This window comes from Homo sapiens, chromosome 2, assembly GCF_000001405.40.
Source record: "Homo sapiens chromosome 2, GRCh38.p14 Primary Assembly".
NCBI lineage: Eukaryota > Metazoa > Chordata > Mammalia > Primates > Hominidae > Homo > Homo sapiens.
The window spans coordinates 15,232,579-15,258,145 of NC_000002.12; the positions used below are offsets into that span (position 1 = coordinate 15,232,579).

The window sequence follows — 25,567 nt, forward strand, 5'->3', positions numbered from 1 at the left end:
ACACCCTTAAATGAACCTGGCTGGATTTTGGCACAGTATACTGCCTGCCCATAGTCATTTGTGCTATGTGATGTCTACAAATGTACGAAGCCCTACACTAGGTGCTAATGAAACATTTTCTGCCCTTAAGGAGCTCAGTCTAATATACACATGTTTTCCTATCAAGAGAATAACACATTCTACTTGCGCTGTGTCATTCGAAAAACATTCGTTGAACATTAACTGTATTGAGCTACTTTAAGCATTAAATGTAATAATGATTTAAATCCTCCAGTTGAAGTTTTTTTTTTTTTTTAAAAGCACTAATATTTACTTGCTACTAATAAGTACCAGGCAATGCTAAACAGTTCACATATATTCTGCTACTATTAAATGCAACATCCTATGAGACAAGTACTATTATTATGCCCATTTTACAGATGTTATGTGTAGAACTCTAGTGAATTCTGAAAATGCAACAGAGAAAAAAAATATTTTCGATGAGTTTTTCGAATAATTTAATGATATAAATCAACTGCCAGATTCGGTTCCTTTCATGTCTTTGTTATTTCGTGCCTACTACATTTTATTAACTTCCTAAAAGGTAAATGTTATGAACACTGTCAATAAAAATTTATTTTCCTTAGAAACAGAAGTAGCTGAATTCCTTAAGTTCCCTTTTCCTTCCATTGCTGGAAGATTTAATTCACATTTATTGAATGTCTTCTGTGTGCCAAGTATACCATTTATTGGATCAGAACCAAATCTTTAGTGGTAGAATTGGATGCAGAAAAAGATAAGTATAATTTATGTCAAAAATTTATAAGTGTAAAAACTATTCCATCGTATTTTAATTATTCATGAAAATGGGCAATTTTTAAGAAATAAACTAAATTAATCAAAACACTAATTTTTCAAAATGCATATTTTTGTGAGCTTCATCTAAAACTTGGTTTAAGAAATAATAAAAAGATAACCATAAACCAAAAGGTATGAAATATGGCCAACAAATATCTGTCATCATTTGAAAGAGGACACTGGTTCATATAATCAACATCAAAAAATCCTAATAAGCAAACAATAAAACAAAGCTTTATTAATTTGAAATTTGTTCTTTTTTAGAAAAAGTTATGAAATTCTATATATCTCCCTATATATAAAATTAATGGATACCTCAGAGCATTAAGGTAAAAACTGTATGAGGCTGGGGTAATTAAACTGATAAAGGCTCATTTGATTTCAGTTCAGCTGCAGAAAACTGACATGCATTTAATCAAAAAGTTCCTCAAGAGCAATACAGAATTAAAAAGAATGCTTAAAAGGAGAATAAATTAAACATAACTAAATCTTTTAGCCTAATTGTATTATTCACAGAAAGTCCTTGATGCCTCATTATTTCCTGAGCGTCACTTCTGCCTCTTTTCTAATCCTCTTGGATGCATTCCTACAAAGGCACCCACATATCGACGCAAAGCAAGAATTTCTCAATTGTCGGTTTTATGCCATTAATTGCAGGTAAATAATGTCTAAAGACACTTTACAGATGTCTAACTTCATCAGTGTATGATCAGCCTTGCCTTGGGTTTTTCAAAACAACCTTCTGGGAACCATTTTCCCACTACTACAAAGAATGGGAATTAGAAATGGTAAGATCTGAAAAACCATATTGAAGTCACAGGAGAGTCTGAAACTTACTTACCTGTGTCAAATGCCATTTTGGCCTTTCCCTTATTTCAAGAAAAGATTGTAAAAGGGGGTCCAACCAGAAATTACATAGCTTAAGATGTTATACACAATACCAACAATGAAACATTTTCATGGTCTCCCTTCTGAAGACATAAGACTATGAGAACTCTAAAAATAATCTCTCACTTTTGTAAAGTCCTTCAAAACTTATAAAATGCTTTTACATACAGGATGACAGTTTAGCACCATCACTGACAAAGTGTCACCCCAGTTTTTCCACAATGACCACTTTCTAGCTTACCTCAATGCAGAAATTATTTTCATGATTGCACTCTGCACTATATCCTTGGGTGAGATGTCAAGAGGGCCAACTGCCACCTCTAGCAGCTGCTGAATCATTGCTAGAGGCTGACCATCTAAACAAATAGCCACAGCTTCATCATGAAGTTTCTCTTTTTCTGATCGGGACAGATCATAGAGGTGACTGTATTTTTGCAGTGTTTCCTGTAAAGACATGGTAATCAGCACTTAAGTATCAAATAGAAATTAAATGTATCTACATGCACAAAGTGAAACATATTTAGATCCTCGAACCAAATACATGAAAAGCAGCAACACCATACCAAAGGGCATGTATTAGTTAGTTATTAAGAGCTTAGGCTCAAGGATCACCCACATTTGAGTGCAAATTCTGGCTTTACCATTTATTAGTTAGTGGGCCTTTGTGATCTCAAATTTCAATATCTGCAAAATGAGGTTGAGGAAAATAGGGTCGTGTGAATAGAGGGTGTTGTGAACATTAACTGAGATAATATAATGGTCAGTTCTTTAGCACTTCGGGAATAAAGTAATGCTCGATAAGTATGAGCTTTTCTATTATTACTAACGCACTACGACCACATAATAATCTATTGAGCTATAACTATGTAATCCCAGGTATTATACATATGGTATCTAAATTAATACTTGTAATAACCCGGCAAGTATTTTTAAATTAGCTGCATGTTATAAAAAAGGAAATTAAAGACCAAGGAGATTGAGTAACATGACCAAAGTCACATGGCTACCAATTAGCAGAGCTAAGATTAGAACCCAAAAGTCTATTCCCCTGCCCTAGGCCACACTGCCTGCCTCTCTTTGATAAGATCTGTAAAAACAAATGTTATACCAAATAATTTAAGAAATAAGAGGGAAGCTATTGTTTTTTGGCATACCAAATACAGTCACTTAATGATAATAACAGTTTCCAGATTCTTTATAGTTTCCCTTGTAATCCTGAATATACTGTTTTGCCTTTGAAACCAACCATGAGAAAACTCTGAATATAACTGAATATTTGATGATATTAAAGAATGTTTATTAATTTTTTTCTAGTGATCATGTTATAGTGGTTATTTTAAAGTATCTTTTAGAGATAGATAGGGAGGTATTTATGAATAAAATGAAAAGATGACTGAGATTTGCTTCACAATCCACAAGAGCAAGGTGAGGGAAGGCAGCGGTATGCATGAAGATTGGGCACGTTCTGACAGTTGTTGAAGCTGGGAGTTGGGCACATGAAGTTTCATTTCACTGTTCTGCCCATTGTGAAATTCTCTATTTCAGAAAAATCCCTATGAGTTAAGCAGGGCAATTTCTAGTATCCTCACCTAAGAGAAGAGGGAACTGAGGCTCTGTAGGATGAAAGCCTTCAACTTTGATTAAATGAAGCTTCATGAGGATATAAGTTTTTTTGTACTGGGTATATAATTAAGGATGTTAAAATGAAGGTCTGAACTATAAAAGGGATAAATGCATGGGGTTGAAGGTTATTTCCAGCTTTTGCTATATAAGGTGCCTTAATAAAATTAAATAATGTCTAATTTAGGAACCTCAAGAGTTTCCTATTATGGGCCATCCATAGTCTGACTGAACGGTACTCACAAGTAGCTATATGGTACCTTTGCATCATATCTTAGATGAAACAAACATGTTTTTTATCAATAATCCCCTTGAATCCCCCCATAAACTATTCTAGGTATTGGAAGACAATACTTGTGGCTGGGTGAAGTGGCTCAGACCTGGAAGGCCAAGGTGGGCGAGTAGCTTGAGCCCAGGACTTTGAGACCAGCCTGGGCAACATGGCGAAACTCTGTCCCTACAAAAAATACAAAAAATTAGTTGGGTGTGGTGGCACACACCTGTAGTCCCAGCTACTCAAGAGGCTGAGGTGGGAGGATTGCTTGAGCCCAGGAGGTAGAGGCTGCAGTGAGTGAGCCTGGGCAACAGAGTGAGACCCTGTCTCAAAAAAAAAAAAAAAAAAAAAAAAAAAAGACAATTCTTGTTCCACAGAGAGTAATGACAATTCTCTGGGTTTTAATATAGTATATTAAAAAATAATATAAGTTTAAAATAATTTTAGATGTGTTTATTTAAAAATAAGTACTTAAAAATTTATAAGTATAGATCACTTTTCCTTGAAGATTGTAATTTTACTCTACTTCTCCTAATTATGAACTGTAGTACTGTAAATGTTAGTAGGATAAAATCAAGATTGGTAAAGCCAATTTGTTTCCTGCAAAGCCTTCTATATTGTTCATACCATTATTTAACATTATTCATTAGACAGAAAAATAGGCATTCCAAAACACAAAATGAATAAAATTTCTTTCAAAATTTTAAGTTCTTCCCATTATCTTTTCAATGGGGGCTTTGCATTTATGTCTTGTACAAATTTTGAAGTCTCCCATTTGCTCATTACCTGAAGTCTCCACTGACTGATCTTTCTAGCCATTCTACAAGGCAAGAATACAATTCAATAAATGTGTAAGGTTTAAGAAAAATAAAAGAGGAGGTTAACGGCCACTTACAAGGTTCATTTACCATAGTATTATAGGGCAAATGGAATATTATTCATATATATAAGCACTGTTTTCACTTACATGGAAATCATTTATTTATTGATTTGTCAACTTTCCAGTTATAGAAAAAATTATCTCAACTCCCACAATTGTTAAAATATAGAACAAAATCTCTAAGGGCCTTAGAGAGCTTCTGGTTTCATTGTATAGTCCTAACACCTGCGTTTTCAAACCTCATCACAGGTAGGGAACCCCAAACTTCATGATGTTGTTTTTGAGACACCAAGGAACTAGAAACCACCTAGAAACAATTTTAGTAGTCAAAAAATTCCTCTCAATAATGAAATTATATTTTATGTTGGAAACATGCAACATAAAAACAGGATAAGGGTATACGTTTAACAAAAATACAGTGTAGACATAAAAGGCTATTTCTGATTTTTTTTCTGAAAATTAGGAGGGAAAAGAAAATCAAAATATTTATTTATTTATTTATTTATTTATTTATTTATTTATTTATTTATTTATCTGAGACAGAGTCTCGCTCTGTCGCCCAGGCTGGGGTGCAGTGGAGCAATCTCAGCTCACCGCAACCTCCGCCTCCCAGGATCAAGCGATTCACCTACCTCAGCCTCCTGAGTAGCTGGGATTACAGGTGTTGTGCCACCACACCCGGCTAATGTTTGTATTTTTTTTTTTTTTTTTTTTTGAGACGGAGTCTCGCTCTGTCGCCCAGGCTGGAGTGCAGGGGCGTGATCTCAGCTCACTGCAAACTCCGCCTCCCGGGTTCAAGCCATTCCCCTGCCTCAGCCTCCTGAGTAGCTGGGACTACAGGCGCCCGCCATTGGGCCTGGCTAATTTTTTTGTATTTTTAGTAGAGACGGGGTTTCACCATGTTGGTCAGACTGGTCTCGAACTCCTGACCTTGTGATCTGCCTGCCTTGGCCTCCCTAAGTGCTGGGATTACAGGAGTGAGCCACCGCGCCCAGCCTATTTTTATTTTTATTTGTTAATTCTACCAGCTAGAAGTAAAGTCTGAGCACCACTGTCTTCTCATTTCTTCATTTTAGAGACCTCTCCCCTCACCCCAGGCAGCTATCCATTGTTCAACTCCTGCTACCATCTCCATTTCCACCCTTCTCACCCACTTCCTCTATTTCCCCATATCAACGGTGCCAAGTGGCTTAACATCATTTTGAAAGAAGTGGAAACTGAATTGTCAATCAAGTGATCATGAAGAGGTTAACCAATAAAGGCTTGCGGACAATTTTCAAGGATATCTGCAAGCCTGAAAACCCTGTCAAAACGACTAATGTAACTTTCAAGGAAAAAAGAAAGAATATACTGATACAGAGTGAGCATATAGAAGTTCCCATTTCTTTACCTGCTCACTATTCTTCAGAGAAAGGATGAAGCTGTGGCTCAGGGTTTCCAGGTGGGCAAGTGATTTCTCCAGATGATTCAAAGTATCTGCATAGGTAACTTTAGAATCCTTAGCTTCTTGAGCTTCGTCTTCTGAGTTTCTTTTCCTTGGCTTCTCAATAAAATGTTTGACTGTCTTAATAGCCTTTCTAGTCATCTCTTTACGGGCTTCCACAGACAGCTTAAAAAAAAGAATAGTGAGACCAAAGAACCCTGCATTATTACCTATTGCATATTCAGCAAGTGTTAATGAGTTAGAACAAAAGTGAAATTTTTGTATATATGATTTTAACCAATAAATAGCACTTGTTATACTAGTTTTTCTTCTGTGAAGAAAACAAAAAGTGAGGTGCCATTTGCATCATTAAACTAGTAATTAAGATTTTTAAAAATGTTAATATCCAAAGCAGGTAAAGTGATGAAACTAGTATTCACACTGACTGCCAGTTACAGTGCAAAAATGAGGAGTCATTTCTACAGCCATATTCCCAGTTCTGATCACTTATTATAAGAAAAAAATTCCAAAGAAGAAAATAAATACAGGCATAAAGATTTTAACTGGAATAAGACTATTAATATAACCTCAAAAGTAATCTAATTGATAGAAGAAATGATAACTAGCTTATTTTAAATTACAGGCTGGAATATTATGTAGTCATTAAAATTAGAATTATAAAAACAGTATCCAAACATTTTGGAATATGTTTGTCATAGAATGTTAAAACTTAGAAATCAGAATATAAAACTCTCTAGATAATGTTTACATTAAACTTCAAACTATATCTGCATATACAATATATGTATTTTATGTATTTTCTATTTTATGTGTGTGTGTATGTGTGCATTTATATATTTTCTATTTTATGTGTGTGTGTATGTGTGCGTGTGTGTGTGTGTATATATATATATATATATGTTGAGTATTGCTTATCTGAAATGTTTGGAACCAGAAGTATTTTAGATTTCAGATTTTTTTTGGATTTTGGAATACTTGCTAATTTAGCATCCCTAATTCAAAAGGCTGAAATCCAAAATGCTCCAATAAGCATTTCCTTTGAGCATCATGTTGGCACTAAAAAAGTTTCAGATATTGGAGCATTTCAGATTCCTAGATTCAGGAAATTCAACCTGTACATGCATATAAAGTATATGTATGTATAAAAATATAAGAAATATGTATTCAGACATATGCATATACATATATATATATTATTAAGGTGTTAGGATTATGAGCTATTTTTTTTTCTTTCCTTCTTTCCAAAGATTCGAAACATCGTTTTCACCCATTTATTCAGTGACACGCATCAGATTCCTGTATACTGTGTTAGATATATGGGAGTTATATTTTTCTAATTAATAAAATACTATCCTCAAGAATGTGCAGGAGTTATATTTTTCTAATATTAAAATATTAAGCTCTTAGCCTCAAGAATACAAAACTAAGTCTAAACTTTGTGCTTTGTTGATGGAGGAAGCAGACGCCTCTGAGAGATCCTAGCGCCTTCTCAGGCCTCACTGATTTGTGCTGCTTTGGATCCTGGGCTGTAGTCTTCTGTCAGCTACTCAAGTACATTTTTACTATATCCTCAAAAGGACGTGTTGATTTTTTTGTTTTAATAAAAAGAGATAAAGACTCCTACGACAGACTCTCATTTTTTTTCTACTTCCTAAAAGCAGTCATTGTACATGTCTGGTCATTCTGAAAAGCAGGACTAGGCTGAAATACATGGCATGAGTGACCACACCAGGAGGTAAGCTGCCCCCAGACCCTTCCTTTCCTACTAGCTCCCTCCAAGTCACTCAACAGAGTTATGACTTTAAAATGCTGACAGGACGCCTGTCATCCCAGGACTTTGGGAGGCCAAGATGGATGGATCACGAGGTCAGGTGATCGAGACAATCCGGGCTAACATGGTGAAACCCCGTCTCTACTAAAAATACAAAAAAAAAAAAAAAAAAAAATTAGCCGGGCGTGGTGGCGGGCGCCTGTAGTCCCAGCTACTCAGGAGGCTGCGGCAGGAGAATGGCGTGAACCCGGCAGGCGGAGGCTGCAGTGAGCCGAGATCGCACCGCTGCACTCCAGACTGGGAGACAAAGTGAGACTCCGTCTCAAAAAACAAACAAAAAAAATGCTGACAGGGGACATTTTCCTAATCCTATATAAATATTGATAAAAGAGATCTTTAGGAAAGTACTATTTCCAATGAAATTGGAAATGCACTGCAAATGCAGCTTTCAAACAAGTTCCGTAGTCCCCACTTCTTACCAGATTTCTGGCTCTAAGCCATTAAAAAAATCAGAGCCCACCATTGACTGACAAGTATTAATTATGTTACTGTGTTTGCCCACAAATAAACTGTTAACTCCTCCCTGTGATTCAGAAGTACAAAATACTAGATCTGTGTTTTGTTCAACAGACCACCCCTCCCTTCATACATGTAGATGAAGAGACTGAGCTCCAGGAGGCTCAGTGGCATGTTAGGGGTCATCGTGTACAAGAGAAGAGTAAAAACTGGAATCCAGAACACTTGGTTACCAAGTGCAGTGCTCCCTGCCACCTTACATTACACAGCTTCCACTCAACGATTTCTGCATCTTCACAGGCTCCAAGTTTATTAGAGAGTGCATGCTGGTTGAATGCTGAATGACAAAATCAAGACTGAATAAGAGTTTATAGCAGAGTGAATCTTTTATTATATTCATATTTGTTTCCCCAAGAAATATAAATTTCAGAAATTACTTGGCTATATCAGCTAGCCAAATGTATACACTCTTCCTAGCCTATTGTGTGATATGGAAGAGTTTCAAAAACAGACTGGCTACAGAATAGGGATAGGCAGCTAATTCACATGGGCAGGAAGTAGGGTCCTGGATGAAACAATGGGTCCCTATTCTCTTAAAGAGGTCCAGATGAGATCATTGTTGTCCAAGTCTTGACTCGCCTTTGTCAACCAACCATGGAATGAATATATGGTAAGCAGGAAGAACAATACATTCAGAAAAGTTGTGTTTAATATTTACTACTGGTGTGACTTTAGGAAACTTGACAAAGTGCTTCAAGCTTTAGTTTCTTCATCTACAAAATGAAAAAAAATGACCCCTGCTGCACAACTTTAAGAACTTAAGACAATATGTAAAACAGTCAGCACAGTGCCTTGCCCATAGTAAGTGCTCAGTAAACAGATGCTGACATTTAATTTGACCAATGGATAAAATACATGTGCCATCCTCTCCCGTTGGTTTGTCATCTTCCTAATAAATTTGTCACATGTTTCCCTTTTAGAAAAACCTTTTTTTTAAATAAGCTCCCCAAATTTCTCAGCACGGAACTCAAGAACCTTCACAAACTGGTCCCTAGCTAAGTCTCTGGCTTCGTGGTATAATTGTAACTCGAACCCTAAGCTACAGCCACACTGACTCTTTGTCATTACCTGGTGCTTTTACTTGCCGTCTTGTCTCAAGGAAATGCTCCTTTCCCTCTTTTTTGCAAGGCAAATTCCCAGTCATGTTTCATTATCGAGACACTTGGAGTCAATCTAGCCTCTACAAGCATTCCACTGGCAAGTCCTCTGCTCCAACATCCAAGTGCATAACCCACCTACTTTGTATGTATAAACTGTCTCGTCAGCATTACTGAGTCTAGCCCTCACACTGAAGTCTATGCTTTCAGAAAACTAGCTGTAGGTTATGAGAGACAGGTGTAACTTTTTCAAGAGTTTAAATTGTTTGACTTCATCACTACAGTGTCATTAGAAAATTTTCTATTTAAAATAATCCTTCAAGAGAACTAAATATTTCAAAATAACTATGTAACCTGACACTGAACAAGGCAGAGTGTAAATAAATGCAATCCTAAGTTAATTTTCCTGAGCCAGCTAGAACCTCTAAGAAGCAGAATGATATTATGATTAAAAATATGTAAGGTGTTTTATTTGACTAGGCGTTTTACTTAATTCAAGCTTTTTATTACTATACTTTGTAAAAACAGGTTCATTGCTGAAAGACTCCAGGGTATGGTTAAAAAATATATGTTTAACACTGAATTTACATCTAGTAGATTTATTTTCTTTAAACTGTTCCATAATGGAAGGAACAGAAGTAAAAGAAAGAAATGATTAAAAAAAAATGTACCAGAGTAAAAAAAATGGCAATTTCTTTACTGTATCTAGTGGCCCCACGGTACCATTATTCTTAACATTCTTTTCTTAAGCCCACAGCATTAACATGTCATTCATGTATATCATTACTATAATATCAAACCAAGATGATATTTTTAACTGTTCCCTGCAGCAATTAGTAGTTGCTATGAAAAATAATAATGGATTTTTTGAAATAAAGATAAGTGGCTAAACCGTTTCATCAGTTAATAAATAGGTACTAAACATCTACTTTCCAAGACCTGTAAAAAATGAGATAAAAACATGAACCAGGCTTACAAAGAAACCACATATATCATGGGAGATAATATAGTGAGAAGGGGGTGGAGGGACTGAGGAATCATGGATGACATCAGCAAATCTTATTGGGTCAAGCTTCAAAATATATCTAGGTTCTAACCACTTCCTACCACCTTCACTGCCACCACTCAGTTCCCAGCCACCATCATCTCTCATAAAGAGCACTGCAACGGTTCTAACTTGTCTCCCAGTGTGACAGAGATAGTGGTGCTCACCAAACACAAGCATTCCAACTCTTCCACTGCATTTGTCAATTCCCTTGTAGTTAGGATGAGCTGTGTTCCAGCCAGTGAAATCTGAGCAGAAGTGACATATACCATTTCAGAGCCGGGCAATAAAAAAACCCACATGGCTCACTATCCAGTTTCCCTTTTTTAACCACAACAATTAAGGAGAACATGGGGCCCAGATGGTGCCAATACAAAATGATGGGGCTTCCATCAGCCTGGATCCTTAAGTGACTTTGTGGTACAGGCCCCTTTGCAGTCTTTTATCGGATTAGGTGCATGAGAGACTATCTACCGAAAGCCTCTACAAACCTTAGCTTATTCTGACACACAACAGGTACCAAGAGGGAGGCAATATGTGGCTTTGGTTTTCAGATATCAGGCAATGAAAAAAAAAAAAAGATTAGAAAAATACCGTAATCTATGATATGCTATAAAAAATACTTAATAAAACTATTATCTGTGGTAACTTGGGGGGCAGATCATACCCCTAATGAACTTGGGAAATGGAACACCAGAAATGTGTTGGGTGTTATATGATGCTGTGGGTATTACATGAAGTACTGTCCAGATCGGAAGCAGGAGTGAAACAAAATAAACAGCCCAGAAATTCAGGGCCATACTGGGTTAAAAAACAAACAAAAACAAAAACCAACTTACTAATTCTAGACCCCATGAGTAAGAGATAAGACGGAGAAATCCTTATATAACAAATGCCAAGTAAAACCTTTAGAAGATTAAAATGATTCAGGGAAGAGATAAAACAAGGGCGTGACACTCCGTAAATTCTTTCAATTGGACAAAATGACTCAGGGCAGAGATCCAATTAATGATGTCATCCTTAAACAGAAACCTGATAGCTTTAAGCTAGCCCCCTTTAAGTGGAGAGAGAGAACGTACAGGGGTGATACATCAAAGATATACAGAACAATATTTCAAAACAAATGAAAAGACCCTGTAGATGTGGCTACGGGCACATGACACTAACAGATATTAAATAAATAAGAACCTGACTGAATTTCTGAGATAGTGATGCTGCCCAAGAAACCACAAACCTGGACTGAAAATGCCTGTGACTGTTTAAAACTTAACACTTGGGCCTTCAACCTTGAGGGTACAGGCCTCCAACAAGCACTCCTCATGTGGCCCAGGAAGGAAGTGGGGAGGTCTTCCCTGGAGGGAAGAAACTGGGGTCATGGAGAACAAAGGATAACAAGGTTGCTCCTAGAAAGCAGAATTAAGGCCTAATTAAGGCCCCTTACCTACCCCACAGTAGGGAAGCCTTCATAATGTCTGTACAGCAGATTTTTTAAGCTGCCTCACAGTCGTGTCTGCCAAATATCTCTTATTGTCTCCCTTTCCAAGGTGAGCGCTTAATGCAATTATCTTGTCCCTGTTTCACCATGTAAGTTGGGTGTCGGGGTGGGTGTGGGGGAAACAGGGCAGAGGATTTGTCCATTTGGTTCACAGTCTGGATCACAGCTGGACCTGATGCGCAGCCTACTGAGTATTATGCCAACTTTGGGCTCCCTGGAGGGACTAGGACCCTGGGTGGTTTCCTCTAGTGGAGAAGCAGAGTGTGTTCTGTGGTGGAAAGAAGGCTTGGTGAATAAAAGGGTGGGCTGTAGCAGACAGTGGTTTCTACCACACATCTTATCCGCTTCTCTATGCTTCTCAACCCCCTTGTAGTTAGACAGGGTTTCATGGCTAGGTGGGCCCATGAAACGTGAGAGAAGTGTCATGTATCACTCTGGCTAAGGCAATCACACCCGATTTTCCAGTCCCACTCCTTCTCCTGACAAGGTACTTGAGGAGACCCCAAGTGGGTACGGGCCCTGAGGGAGGCGTCTGTTGTGCTAGGCCACTGTGACTCTGGGGTTGCTTTGTTACTCCAGCACTACCCAGCAGCACGATGGTATCTTAAAAACACACATCTGCTCCAGCCACGCCTCTGCTCAAATCCGTGTAATGGCTTCCCAACTCACTAAGAATAAAAGCCAGTCTTTCATGCCCTATCAGGCCCCATGCGATCTGCTCTTCCCCTCACCCTGCCTCTCTGATCCTATCCCCTCCCTGCCTTCACACTCTCAGGCCACTTCAACCACCCCGGCACCCTTGCAGGCCCCCTCAGAGTCTTCACAGTCATCGGTCTCTCTACTTGGAATGTTCTCCCAGGCACCCTCATGACTTGACCCTCTACTTCTCTTGGGACTTCACAAAAATGTCATCTTATCCGAGAGGCCTTCCCTGACCACTCCATGAAACATGGCACTCTCTCCACCTCTTTCTCCTGGCCCTGCAGTACTTTTTCCTCCTAATTGACATACTGGGCTTCTATTGCTTATTGTTTGTCACTGCTACATTCCCAAAGCCCAGAATTGTGGCTCATACATAACAAATGCCTCTCTGTTGAATGGAAGGATGGATGGATGGATGGATGGATGGATGGATGGATGGACGGACGGACGGACGGATGGATGGATGGATGACACTGTTTAAAAAGAGAACAGTAAAAGTGCATTTGAGGAAGCACGTAAGTAGGAGGGCTCATGACACATCTCTAACTACTAGAGCACTTTAGTTTAGACATGGTGTGGCATAAAGGGCTGGACAGTAAATATGTTAGGCTTTGCAGGCCACACAGAGTCTCTATTAGACACTCTGGTTTGTTTGGTTGGTTGGCTGGTTTTTGCAATCCTTTAAAAAGATGTAAAAGCCAATCTTAGCTAAGGGTTGTACAGAAACAGGCAGTGGGCTAAATTTGACCTGTGGGCCATCATTTTCTGATCTCTGATTTATAATATTAAACAGTTCTAGTTGAAAAGATAAACTGAGAGTAAGTTATATGTGGCCTGGAATGCCAGGCTAGATAAGGAATCTGACTTGGAAGCCACTGAGAGCCACTTGTATATTGAAGATAATTACATGGAAATGTCTCCTTAGATTCCCATTTTTAAAACACTGTAAGAAAATCTTATTTCAAAGAAAAACTAAAAACTATAGTTATCTGAGAAAAACATAATCACCCTTTCTTAGGCCTTTGCCTGTGTTTCTGGAATCAGTGCAGGGGTTCACTCCTCTGAGGAGCCTTCCTGACCTATATCAAAGAATATTGCATTGAAATTACCTAGTTACTTGTACATCTCCCTGACTAAACAATGAGATCCTTTAGGATAGAAACTGTGCTTTTAAAATCTCTGTATCCCTAGACCTAACATAATGTCTAACACACTGTAGACTAAAAGTAAATAGCTATTAAATTACTGAACAACTCTGATCAACATACGGAGAAAACAAAGATTCTTTACAAGTGCAATAAAATTACATGTTCTCAACATGTCCCTGGAAAGTTGTGGTTCAGAATGCTCCAAAATTACCCAGTTACTCTGCAGTAAGTAATTCCTGTAAGAAGGCCCTAGGAGACATTTAAAAAGGACACTTTAAGTGAGTTGAAACAAAGAAACAAAAAACTGAGACCAAATGTTTGCCATTGGGACAATGCCACCCTGGATCGGAAGTCATGCAGGAAGGGGCACAACGGCATCAAGCTACTGATGGCTGTTTATTCATTCAACATACATCCACTGAGTGCACACCGTGCATCTGCCTTGGGCTGAGTGCTGGTGACAAAATTAGATCAAGGCCCTGCCCCTGGGTATGTCAAAGTCTAGTTGTAAATACGGAGAGATAAAAGACATTACAAAGAGGCATGATCATCCTACAACTACAACAGGGTAAACACAAGGTGCCATGGAAGCCCTCAGAAGGGCCACTCTGCAGACTGGAAGTGATGGGCATGCAAGGTCAGGAAAGGGTTGCTGAAAGGTGACATCTCCAAGGAGAGTCCTCAAGAGTGAATAGAAACTAAGACAAGAAAGGAGGAATGTGAAGAGGTCACTAGTCAAAGGAGCAAGTGGGGCACCTAGAAGTACATGGGCTTGGCTGGAATGCAGAATGAAAGCGTTACGGGAAAGGTGTCCAGATCCAGACGCCAAGAGAGGGTTTCTGGATCTCGCTCAAGAAAGAAGTCAGAGCTCCTGAAGGAAGCACTAAACAAGGAAAGAAACAACCAGTACCAGCCACTGCAGAAACACACCAAATTGTAAAGACCATCTATGCTATGAGGAAATCACATCAATTAACGGCCAAAATAACCAGCTAGCATGATAATGGCTGGATCAAACTTATACATAACAATATTAACCTTAAATGTAAACAGGCTAAATGCCCCAATTAAATGACACAGACTGGCAAATTGGATGAAAGTCAAGAGCCATCGGTGTGCTCTATTCAGGAGACCATTCAGGCTCAAAATAAAGGAATGGAGGAATATTTAGCAAGCAAATGGAAACGAAAAAAAGCAGGGGTTGCAATCCTAGTCTCTGATACAACAGAATTTAAACCAACAAAGATCAAAAGAGACAAAGAAGGGCATTACATAATGGTAAAGGGATCAATGCACCAAGAAGAGCTACTCTCTCTCTCTCTCTCTATATATATATCTATATATCTCTCTATATATATCTATATATACCTCTATCTATAGATCTATATATATTTATATAGATATAAAATCCATCACATAAAGAGAACCAATGACAATACGGGCTCATAAAGCAAGTTCCTAGAGACCTACAAAGAGACTTAGACTCCCACACAATAATAGTGGGAGACTTTAACACCCCACTGTCAATATTAGATCAACGAGAAAGAAGGTTAACAAGGATATCCAGGATTTGAACTCAGCTCTGGACCAAGCGGACCTAATAGACATCTACAAAACTCTCCACCCCAAATCAACAGAATACGCATTCTTCTCAGCACCACATTGCACTTATTCTAAAATTGACCACATAATTGGAAGTAAAACAGTCCTCAGCAAATGCAAAAGAATGGAAATCATAACAAACAGTCTCTCAGGCCACAGTGCAATCAAATTAGAACTCAGGATTAAGAAACTCACTCAAAACCGCGCAACTACATGGAAACAGAACAACCTGCTCCTGAATGACTACTCGGTGAATAACAAAATGAAGGCAGAAATAAAGATGTTCTTTGAAACCAATGAGAACAAAGACACAATGTACCAGAATCTCTGGGACACATTTAAAGCAGTGTGTAGAGGGAAATTTATAACACTAAATGACCACAGAAGAAAGCAAGAAACACCTAAAGTTGACACCCTGACATCACAATTAAAAGAATTATTGAGAAGCAAGAGCAAACACATTGAAAAGCTAGCAGAAGGCAAGAAATAACTATAACTAAGATCAGAGCAGTACTGAAGGAGATAAAGAAACAAAAAACCCTTCAAAAAATCAATGAATCCAGGAGCTGGTATTTTGAAAAGATCAACAAAATTGATAGACCACTAGCCAGACTAATAAAGAATAAAAGAAGAATCAAATATCAAATAGATGCAATAAAAAGTGATAAAGGGGATATCACCACTGACCCCACAGAAATACAAACTACCATCAGAGAATACTATAAACACCTCTACACAAATAAACTAGAAAATCTAGAAGAAATGGATAAATTCCTGGACACATACACCCTCCCAAGACTAAACCAGAAGTTGAATCCCTGAATAGACCAATAACAAGTTCTGAAATTGAGGCAGCAATTAATAGCCTCCCAACCAAAAAAAGTCCAGGACCAGAGGGACTCAGAGCCGAAATCTACCAGAGATACAAAGAGGAGCTGGTACCATTCCTTCTGAAACTATCCAAACAATAGAAGAGTGAATCCTCCCTAACTCATTTTATGAGGTCAGCATCATCCTAATACCAAAACCTGCCAGAGACACAACAACAACAACAAAAAGAAAATTTCAGGCCAATATCCCTGATGAACATCGATGCAAAAATCCTCAATAAAATACTGGCAAACTGAATAAAGCAGCACATCAAAAAGCTTATCCACCATGATCAAGTCAGCTTCATCCCGGGGATGCGAGGCTGGTTCAACATACTCAAATCAATAAACGTAATCTATCACATAAACAGAACCAATGAAAAAAACCACATGATTATCTCAATAGACGCACCAAAGGTCTTTGACAAAATTCAACACCCGTTCATGCTAAAAACTCTCAATAATCTAGGTATTGATGAAACGTATCTCAAAATAAAAAGAGCTATTTATGACAAACCCACAGCCAATATCATACTGAATGGGCAAATACTGGAAGCATTCCCTTTGAAAACCAGCATAAGACAAGGATGCCCTCTCTCACCACTCCTATTCAACATAGTATTGGAAGTTCTGGCCAGGGCAATCACGCAAGAGAAAGAAATAAAGTGTATTCAATTAGGAAAAGAGGAAGTGAATTGTCTCTGTTTGCAGATGACACAATTGTATATTTAGAAAACCCCATCGTCTCAGCCCAAAATCTCCTTAAGCTGATAAACAACTTCAGCAAAGTCTCAGGATACAAATCAATGTGCAAAAATCACAAGCATTTCTATACACCAATAATGAACACAGAGCCAAATCATGAGTGAATTCCCATTCACAATTGCTACAAAGAGAATAAAATACCTAGGAATACAACTTACAAGGGATGTGAAGGGCCTCTTCAAGGAGAACTACAAACCACTGCTCAGGAAATAAGGGAGGACACAAACAGATGGAAGAACATTCCATGCTCATGGATAGGAAGAATCAATATCGTGAAAATGGCCATACTGATGCCCAAAGTAATTTACAGTTTCAATGCTGTCACCATCAAGCTACTGTTGACTTTCTTCACAGAAGTGGAAAAAAACTACTTTAAATTTCATATGGAACCAAAAAAGAGCCCACATTGCCAAGACAATCCTAAGCAAAAAGAACAAAGCTGGAGGCATCATGCTACCTGACTTCAAACTATACTACAAGGCTACAGTAACCAGAACAGCATGGTACTGGTACCAAAACAGAGATATAGACCAATGGAACAAAACAGAGGCCTCAGAAATAACGCCACACATCTACAATCATCTGATCTTTGACAAACCTGACAGAAACAAGCAATGGGGAAAGGATTCCCTATTTAATAAATGATGTTGGGAAAACTGGCTAGGCATATGCAGAAAGCTGAAACTGGATCCCTTCCTTACACTTTAAACAAAAATTAACTCAAGATGGATTAAAGACTTAAACATAAGACCTAAAACCATAAAAACCCTAGAAGAAAATCTAGGCAATACCATTCAGGACATAGGCATGGGCAAAGACTTAATGACTAAAACACCAAAAGCAATGGCAACAAAAGCCGAAGTAGACAAATGGAATCTAACTAAACTAAAGAGCTTCTGCACAGCAAAAGAAACTATCATCAGAGTGAACAGGCAGTCTACAGAATGGGAGAAAATTTTTGCTATCTATCCATCTGACACAGGGCTAATATCCAGAATCTACAAAAAACTTAAGCAAATTTACAAGAAATAAACAACCTCATCAAAAAGTGGGCAAAGGATATGAACAGACACATCTCAAAAGTAGACATTTATGCGGCCAACAAGCATATGAAAAAAGCTCATCATCACTGTTCATTAGAGAAATGCAAATCAAAACCACAATGAGATACCGTCTCATGCCGGTTAGAATGGCAATCATTAAAAAGTCAGGAAACAACAGATACTGGAGAGGATGTGGAGAAATAGGAACGCTTTTACACTGTTGGTGGGAGTGTAAATTAGTTCGACCATGTGGAAAACAGTGTGGCAATTCCTCAAGGATCTAGAACTAGAAATACCATTTGACCCAGCAATCCTATTATTGAATATATACCCAAAGGATTATAAATCATGCTACTATAAAGACACATGCATACGTATGTTTACTGAGGCACTGTTCACAACAGCAAAGATTTGGAACCAATCCAAATGCCCATCAATGATAAACCAGATAAAGAAAATGTGGCACATATATACCATGGAATACTATGCAGCCATAAAAAAGAATGAGTCATGTCCTTTGCAGGGCCATGAATGAAGCTGAAAAACATCATTCTCAGCAAACTAACACAAGAACAGAAAACCAAACACTGCATGTTCTCACTTATAAGTGGGAGCTGAACAATGAGAACACATGGACACAGGGAAGGGAACATCACACACCAGGGCCTGTCGGCGGGTGGGGAGCTAGGGGAGGGATAGCATTAGGGGAAATAGCTAATGTAGATGATGGGTTGATGGGTGCAGCAAACCACCATGGCACATGTATACCTATGAAACAAACCTGCACGTTCTGCACGTATATCCTAGAACTTGAAGTATAATAATAAAAAACAAACAAACAAACAAAGTCCATAGAGTGGAAGCAAATTTATTAAGAAAGTAAAAGAATAAAGAATGTCTACTCCATAGGCCCTTGGGGCTGCTAATTGCCCATTTTAATGGTTATTTCTTGATGATATGCTAAATTAGGGGTGTATTATTCATGTCTCCCCTTTTTAGATCATATAGGATAACCTTCTGACATCACCATGGCATTTGTAAACTGTCACGACGCTGGTGGGAATGTAGCAGTCAGGATGACCAGAGCTCACTCTCGTCACCATCTTGGTTTTGGTGGCTTTTAGCTGGCTTCTTTACTGCAAGCTGTTTTATCAGCAAGGTCTTTATGATGTGTATCTTGTGCCGACTTCCTGTCTCATCCTATGACTTAGATTGCCTTAACCTCCTGGGAATGCAGCCCAGTAAGTTTCAGCCTTATTTCACCCAGCTCCTATTCAAGATGGAGTTGCTCTGGTTCAAATGCCGCTGACACAAGTAACAGTCTGTCAGAGAATGAGGAAGAATGAAGCAGAAATGACAACATGAGGAAGCGCCCTGCATACTGAGCTGATGACAGTATCATCATCTTCATGCCTTGGGAGGCATAAAAGGATCTCCAGCAGGAGAGCAACACAATCAGCACCAGAGGTTTTAGCTAATGGCTTGATTCATAATTCACCAAGATGACCTACATCATCTGCACCTACTTCACCGCTGTGAAATCTTGCTAAGCAGACTTTTTTTCTTTTAAAAATGAACATAGCGCCGGGCACAGGGGCTCATGCCTGTAATCCCAGCACTTTGGGAGGCCGAGGCGGTTGGATCACCTGAGGTTGGGAGCTCGAGACCAGCACAACCAACATGGAGAAACCCCATCTCTACTAAAAATACAAAATTAGCCGGGCGTGGTGGCGCGTGCCTGTAATCCCAACTACTCAGGAAGCTGAGGCAGGAGAATCACTTGAACCCGGGAGGTGGAGGTTGCAGTGAGCTGAGATCGCGCCATTGCACACCAGCCTGGGCAACAAGAGCGAAACTCCATCTCAAAAATAAATAAATAAAAAATAAAATAAAAATTAAAAAAAAAAGAACATAGCATGACTTTGAACATAAGGCTGTTATTTAGGAAATGGCAGGTGACTTAAGAAAAATCCAGGTGCTACCTACAGAGTGAGGTGGAAAAAATCAGGGTTTACAAACAGTTTATTATTTAACTAATTAAAAAAATACACAGATGTCCTCTCTTTATAGGTTTCCATTTACAAACTCACCCTATTTTTCATCCATCTCTCCCTCCTCCTTTTCATGTTCAAACACTTTCATACTCGCTATGAGCTAGGCCTGGCCTTGGCACAGAGGATACAAAGGTAAATTAAGACAGAATCACTATCCTGGAAGAACATACATCCTAATGGAAAAGTCTACATGGAAATAAAAATATATAAAATGTGACAGAAATATAAATTAAGTATGTGGGTACACCAAGAAAAAAAATTGTTTTAGAAAGGCAAGTCTTTAAAAAGAAGGTGACACCTGAAGCAGAACTTGAAGCATCAGCAGGAGTTCATGTGGAAGAAGGAGGGGAGGGTGGATTGCAGGCAAAGAGGACAGAATGAGGAATTAATTAAATAAAGGCTTTTATAGAAGAAGAATGTTCTAAGGCTGTAACTCTCAACGTTTTACTGTGCTCCAAAAAACCTACAGGATATAATATATTCTCACCAAAAACAGTAGCTCATGACCGCAAGATGTCTCATGGGGTAGGGGAGTGGGTGCAGAGCAGCAGCTGTAGTATATTTGGGAAAGGAGGGGGAATCAATTCTGAAAAAGATTAAACCATCCCAGGAGTTCAATCACCAAAGCCAAACATCATTCCTTCTCCAGTCTTACTCCCAAGCTATACCTGCAAAAGCTCTTGGTGGTGCAAATGTGTGTATGCGTGTGCTTAGGCAAGGGATTGTCCAGCAAGAGAAGAGATGCAAAGGGTGCTGGGGCCACTGGGGGTGCCATGCTGGGAAACTTACACATTAACCTTGGGCCAGTGGTCTCCAAACTGAGGTATGTGTGCCACTAGCACACAAAGCCTTCCAACAGGGACGCAGGCACAGGCAGTTTAAAGGGAATCTGTTTCTAAATTAATTTCCACCTTCTCTAAGTATTCTTTCCTAAAACTGATCAAGGTGTGAAGCCTGTGCTCTTTCCCAACTCCCCTTTGACAACAGCCTTCAACTAACACAAGAAAGGCATGTCTGACACTCTTCCTGAGTCTGACTCTGATACATTGTTCTGATGTCTAAAGAGCTCCAGAACACCAAAGGGACAATTCAGAATGCTGGTGTATAACAGACTCCAATGGAGACCACCTTTGCAAAAATTTTAACAGTGAGAAAATTATGGCAGTGGGGGAGATCTAATTTAGCCAACCCCCATCTTGCCTTTAGCCTTCAAGCTGTCAGACATTTAGTTTATAGTTTAAATGATAACAGCCCTTGCCCCAAAACTCAACCGCCTTTGTAAAGTGAGTGAGAGACTATCAGGCTAAGAGGAGAGAGGAACGTGAATTCTCCTAAGATGTAGACATAAGCAATTGCCAGCCATTATTACATTCTGGGGTCACAAGATATGCAACTTCTCCAATTACTCCTGCAGATAACGTCACTATTGTAGACTGGCCTTCTGAGATATCTATTCATGTGTTTTGCATGTCTGAGATCCATGGCTCCACCCAGACCCACCCAGAAGCAATTGGGCACCCAGGAGGCTCACTTCCTACACTCCTATGATTGCACCCAATTAATCAGCAGCAAGCACCCATTTCCTAGCCACCCACACCCCTTCCCCCAAACTGCATTTTAAAAAACCTTAACCTAGAAGGCTTCAATTGATTAAGTGATAACTCCATTTCCAGCATGGCACGGCTGGCCTAGAGTCAATTAAACTCTTTCTTTACTGCAAAGCTGGGGTCTCCGTTTGTGCAGTGGTAGAAAGTGATTACAAAGTGGTAGAAAGGTGATTACACAGTGACTGGATAACAAACTTCTTCTTGCATGTCACAAGGTTCCCAGTGCTTTGCTTTCTTTTTTTTCTTCTAAGTTATTTTTAAAAAAATTCAACAGTTTTAGGGGAACAGGTGGCGTTTGCATGGAAAAGTCCTTCAGTGATGATTTCTGATATTTTGGTGTACCCATCACTGGAGCAGTGTATACTATATCCAACGTGTAGTATTTTCTCTCTCATTCCCCTCCACCCTTCCCCACCAAGTCCCCAAAGTGTATTATGTCATTCTTATGTCTCCGAGTCCCCATAGCTTAGCTCCCACTTATAAGTGAGAACATAAGATGTTTGGTTTTCCACTCCTGAGTTACTTAGAATAATGGTCTCCAACTCCATCCAGGTTGCTGAGAATGTCATTATTTCATTTCTTTTTATGGCTGAGTAGTGTTCCATGGGGTGTGTGTGTGTGTGTGTGTGTGCACACGTGTACCTCACATGTTCTTTATCCACTTGTTGGCTGATGGGCATTTTAGGCTGGTTCCATACTTTTGCAATTGCGAATTGTGCTGCTATAAATATGCATGTGCAAGTGTTTTTTTCATATAATGACTTCTTTTCTTCCGGGTTAAATACCCACTAGTGGGTTGCTGGATCAAATGTTAGTTCTATTTTAGTTCTTTAAGGAATCTCCAGTACTGTTTTCCATAGTGGTTGTACTAGTTTACATTCCCACCAGCAGTGTAAAGATGTTCCCTTTTCATCATATCTATAACAACATCTATTATTTTTTGATTTTTAAATTATGGCCATTTTTGCAGGAATAAGGTGGCATCTCATTGTAGTTTTGATTTGCATTTCCCTGATAATTAGTGATGTTGAACATTTTTTCTTGTTTTTTGGCCACTGGTGTATCTCCTTTTGAGAAGTATCTATTCATGTCTTTGCTTACTTTTTGATGGGATTGTTTGCTTGCTTCTTGCTGATCTGTTTGAGTTCCTTGTAGATTCTGGATTAGTCCTTTATCAGATGCTTAGTTTGTGAATATTTTCTCCCACTCTGTAGGTTGTTGAGTAGCTGATCATTTCTTTTGCAGTGTAGATGCTTTTTAGTTTAATTAGGTACCATCTATTTATCTTTGGTTTTGTTTCATTTGCTTTGGGTTCTTGGTCTTAGCCTAATCCAATGTCTAGAAGAGTTTTTCCAACGTTATCCTCTAGAATTTTTATGCTTCAGGTGTTAGATTTAAGTCCTTGAACCATCTTGAGTTAATTTTTGTATTTGGTTAGAGATGAGGAGTCAGGTTCATTCTTCTACAGGTGGCTTGCCAATGAAGTATCCCAGCACCATTTGTTGAATAGAGTGACCTTTCCCCACTTTGTTTTTGTTTGCTTTGTCAAAGATCAGTTGGCTGTAAGTATTTGGCTTTGTTTCTGGGTTATCCATTCTGTTCCATTGGTCTATATGCATATTTTCATACGAGTACAGTGCTGTTTTGGTAACTATTAATATAGCTTTATAGTATAGTTTGAAGTTAGGTAATATGATGCCTCCAGATTTGTTTTTTGTTTAGTCTTGCTTTGGCTATGAAGACTCTTTTTGGGTTCTGTATGAATTTTAGGATTTTTTTTCTAGTTCTGTCAAGAATGATGATCGTATTTTGGTGGGAATTGTATTAAATTTATAGACTGCTTTTGGCAATATGGTCATTTTCACAATATTGATTCTACCTATCCTTGAGCATGGGATGTGTTTCCATTTGTTTCTGTCATTTATGATTTCTTTCAGCCGTGTGTTGTAGTTTTCCAAGTAGAGATCATTCACCTCCTTGCTTATATTCCTAAGTATTTTATTATTATTATTATTATTTGCAGCTGTTGTAAAAAAGGTTGAGTTCTCGACTTGATTCTCGGCTTGGTCATTGTTGTTGCATAGCAGTGCCACTGATTTGTGTACACTGAGACTTTACTGAATTCATTTACAAGACCTAGAAGCTTTTTGGATGAGTCGTTAGGGTTTTCAAGGTATACAATCATATCAATTGGCAAATAGTGGCTGTTTGACTTCTTCTTTACCAATATGGACACCCTTTATTTTTTTCTCTTGTCTGACTGCTCTGGCTAGGACTTCCAGCATGATGCTGAATAGCATCAACATTATAGTGAAAGTGGGCATCCTTGTCTTATTCCAGTTCTCAGAGAAAATGCTTTCAACTTTTCCCTGTTCAGTATAATGTTGGCTGTGGGTCTGTCAGCGATGCCTTTTATTACCTTGAGGTATGTCCCTTATATGCCAATTTTGCTGAGGGTTTTAATCATAAAGGGATGCTGGATTTTGTCAAATACGTTTTCCTGCACGTATTGAGGTGACCATATGATTTTTGTTTTTAATTCTGTTTATGTGATATATCACATTTATTTACTTACATATGTTAATTCATCCCTGCATCCCTGGTATAAAACCCATTTGATTATGCAGTATTATCTTTTTGATATGCTGTTGGATTTGGTTATTTTGTTGAGGATTTTTGCATCTATGATCATCAGGGATATTGGTCCATAGCTTTCCCTTTTTGTTACATCTTTCCTGGTTTTGGTATTAGGGTGATACTGGCTTCCCAGAATGATTTAGGAAAGATTCCCTCTTTCTCTATCTTTTGGAATAGTTTCAGTAAGATTTGTACTAATTATTTGAATGCCTGATAAAATTCAGCTGTGAATCCATTTGGTCTTGGACTTTTTTGGTTGGCAATTTTAAAAATTACTGTATCAGTCTTGCTACTTGTTATTTGTCTGTTCAGAGTTTCTATTTCTTCCGGATTTAATCTAGGATATTTCCAGGAATTTATCCACCTCCTCTGGGTTTTCTAGTTTGTGTGTGTAAAGGTGTTCATAGTAGCTCTGAATGATCTTTTGTGTTTCTGTGGTATCAGTTGTAACATCTCCCATTTAATTTCTTTTTTTTTTTTTTTTGAGTCTCTCTCTGTCACTCACCCTGGAGTGCAGTGGCACAATCTTGGTTCACTGCAACCTCTGCCTCCCGCATTCGAGAGATTCTCCTGCCTCAGCCTCCCAAGTGGCTGAGATTGCAAAAGCCTGCCACCACACCCAGCTAATTTTTGTATTTTTAGTTGAGACGGAGTTTCACCATGTTGGCCTGACTGGTCTCAAACTCCTGACCTCAGGTGATCTGCCCACCTCAGCCTGCCAAAGTGCTGGGATTACAGGCCCAATGCTGTGCTTTCAACACAATTTATGAAGGATCTAAATGAGGCGTCTGCTGATAAATCATTAAAAATTAATTTTTAACAAAAGTTTGCTATATGATTTTTGGTCTATAACTTATAAGAAATTCAAAGAATTAAGTGAATCTGCTATGGCAAAACTTCTCCACCCACTTATTTATGTGAACAATGTTTTTAAGTACTCATATCTATGCAAATATAAAATAGAAAACTGACATTGAACTCAATCACAATCTAACAATAGTCATCCAAGAGCACATAAACTAGTTAAAAACAATATTTAAATCTCTACCTCATTAAGATGTGCATTTTGAATATAATTTTATTTTTATATTTAATAGTTATTTATCAAAAAAATAAATCAATGTTGCGGGAACTCAGGGACGCCGAACGGAGGGACTGGCTGGAGCCGTGGCAGAGGAACATAAATTGTGAAGATTTCATGGACATTTATCAC

The 25,567-nt window shown here is 38.5% G+C and overlaps 1 protein-coding gene across 11 annotated transcripts in view; it reads right to left on the minus strand.

The window, feature by feature from the left end:
- NBAS (NBAS subunit of NRZ tethering complex) overlaps positions 1–25,567 on the minus strand; it is a 782,426-nt gene that overhangs the window by 453,670 nt on the left and 303,189 nt on the right. For all 11 annotated transcript variants that reach the window (XR_007076390.1, NR_052013.3, XM_017004317.2 and 8 more), the window contains 2 exons: positions 5,890–6,108; positions 1,967–2,169 (listed from right to left, as the gene is read on the minus strand). Coding sequence is in view for 9 of the 11 variants with exons in the window: in XM_017004317.2 (XP_016859806.1) it covers positions 1,967–2,169; positions 5,890–6,108 (422 nt within the window). In the remaining 2 variants the exon portion in view is untranslated. The remainder of the gene's footprint in view (positions 1–1,966; positions 2,170–5,889; positions 6,109–25,567) is intronic.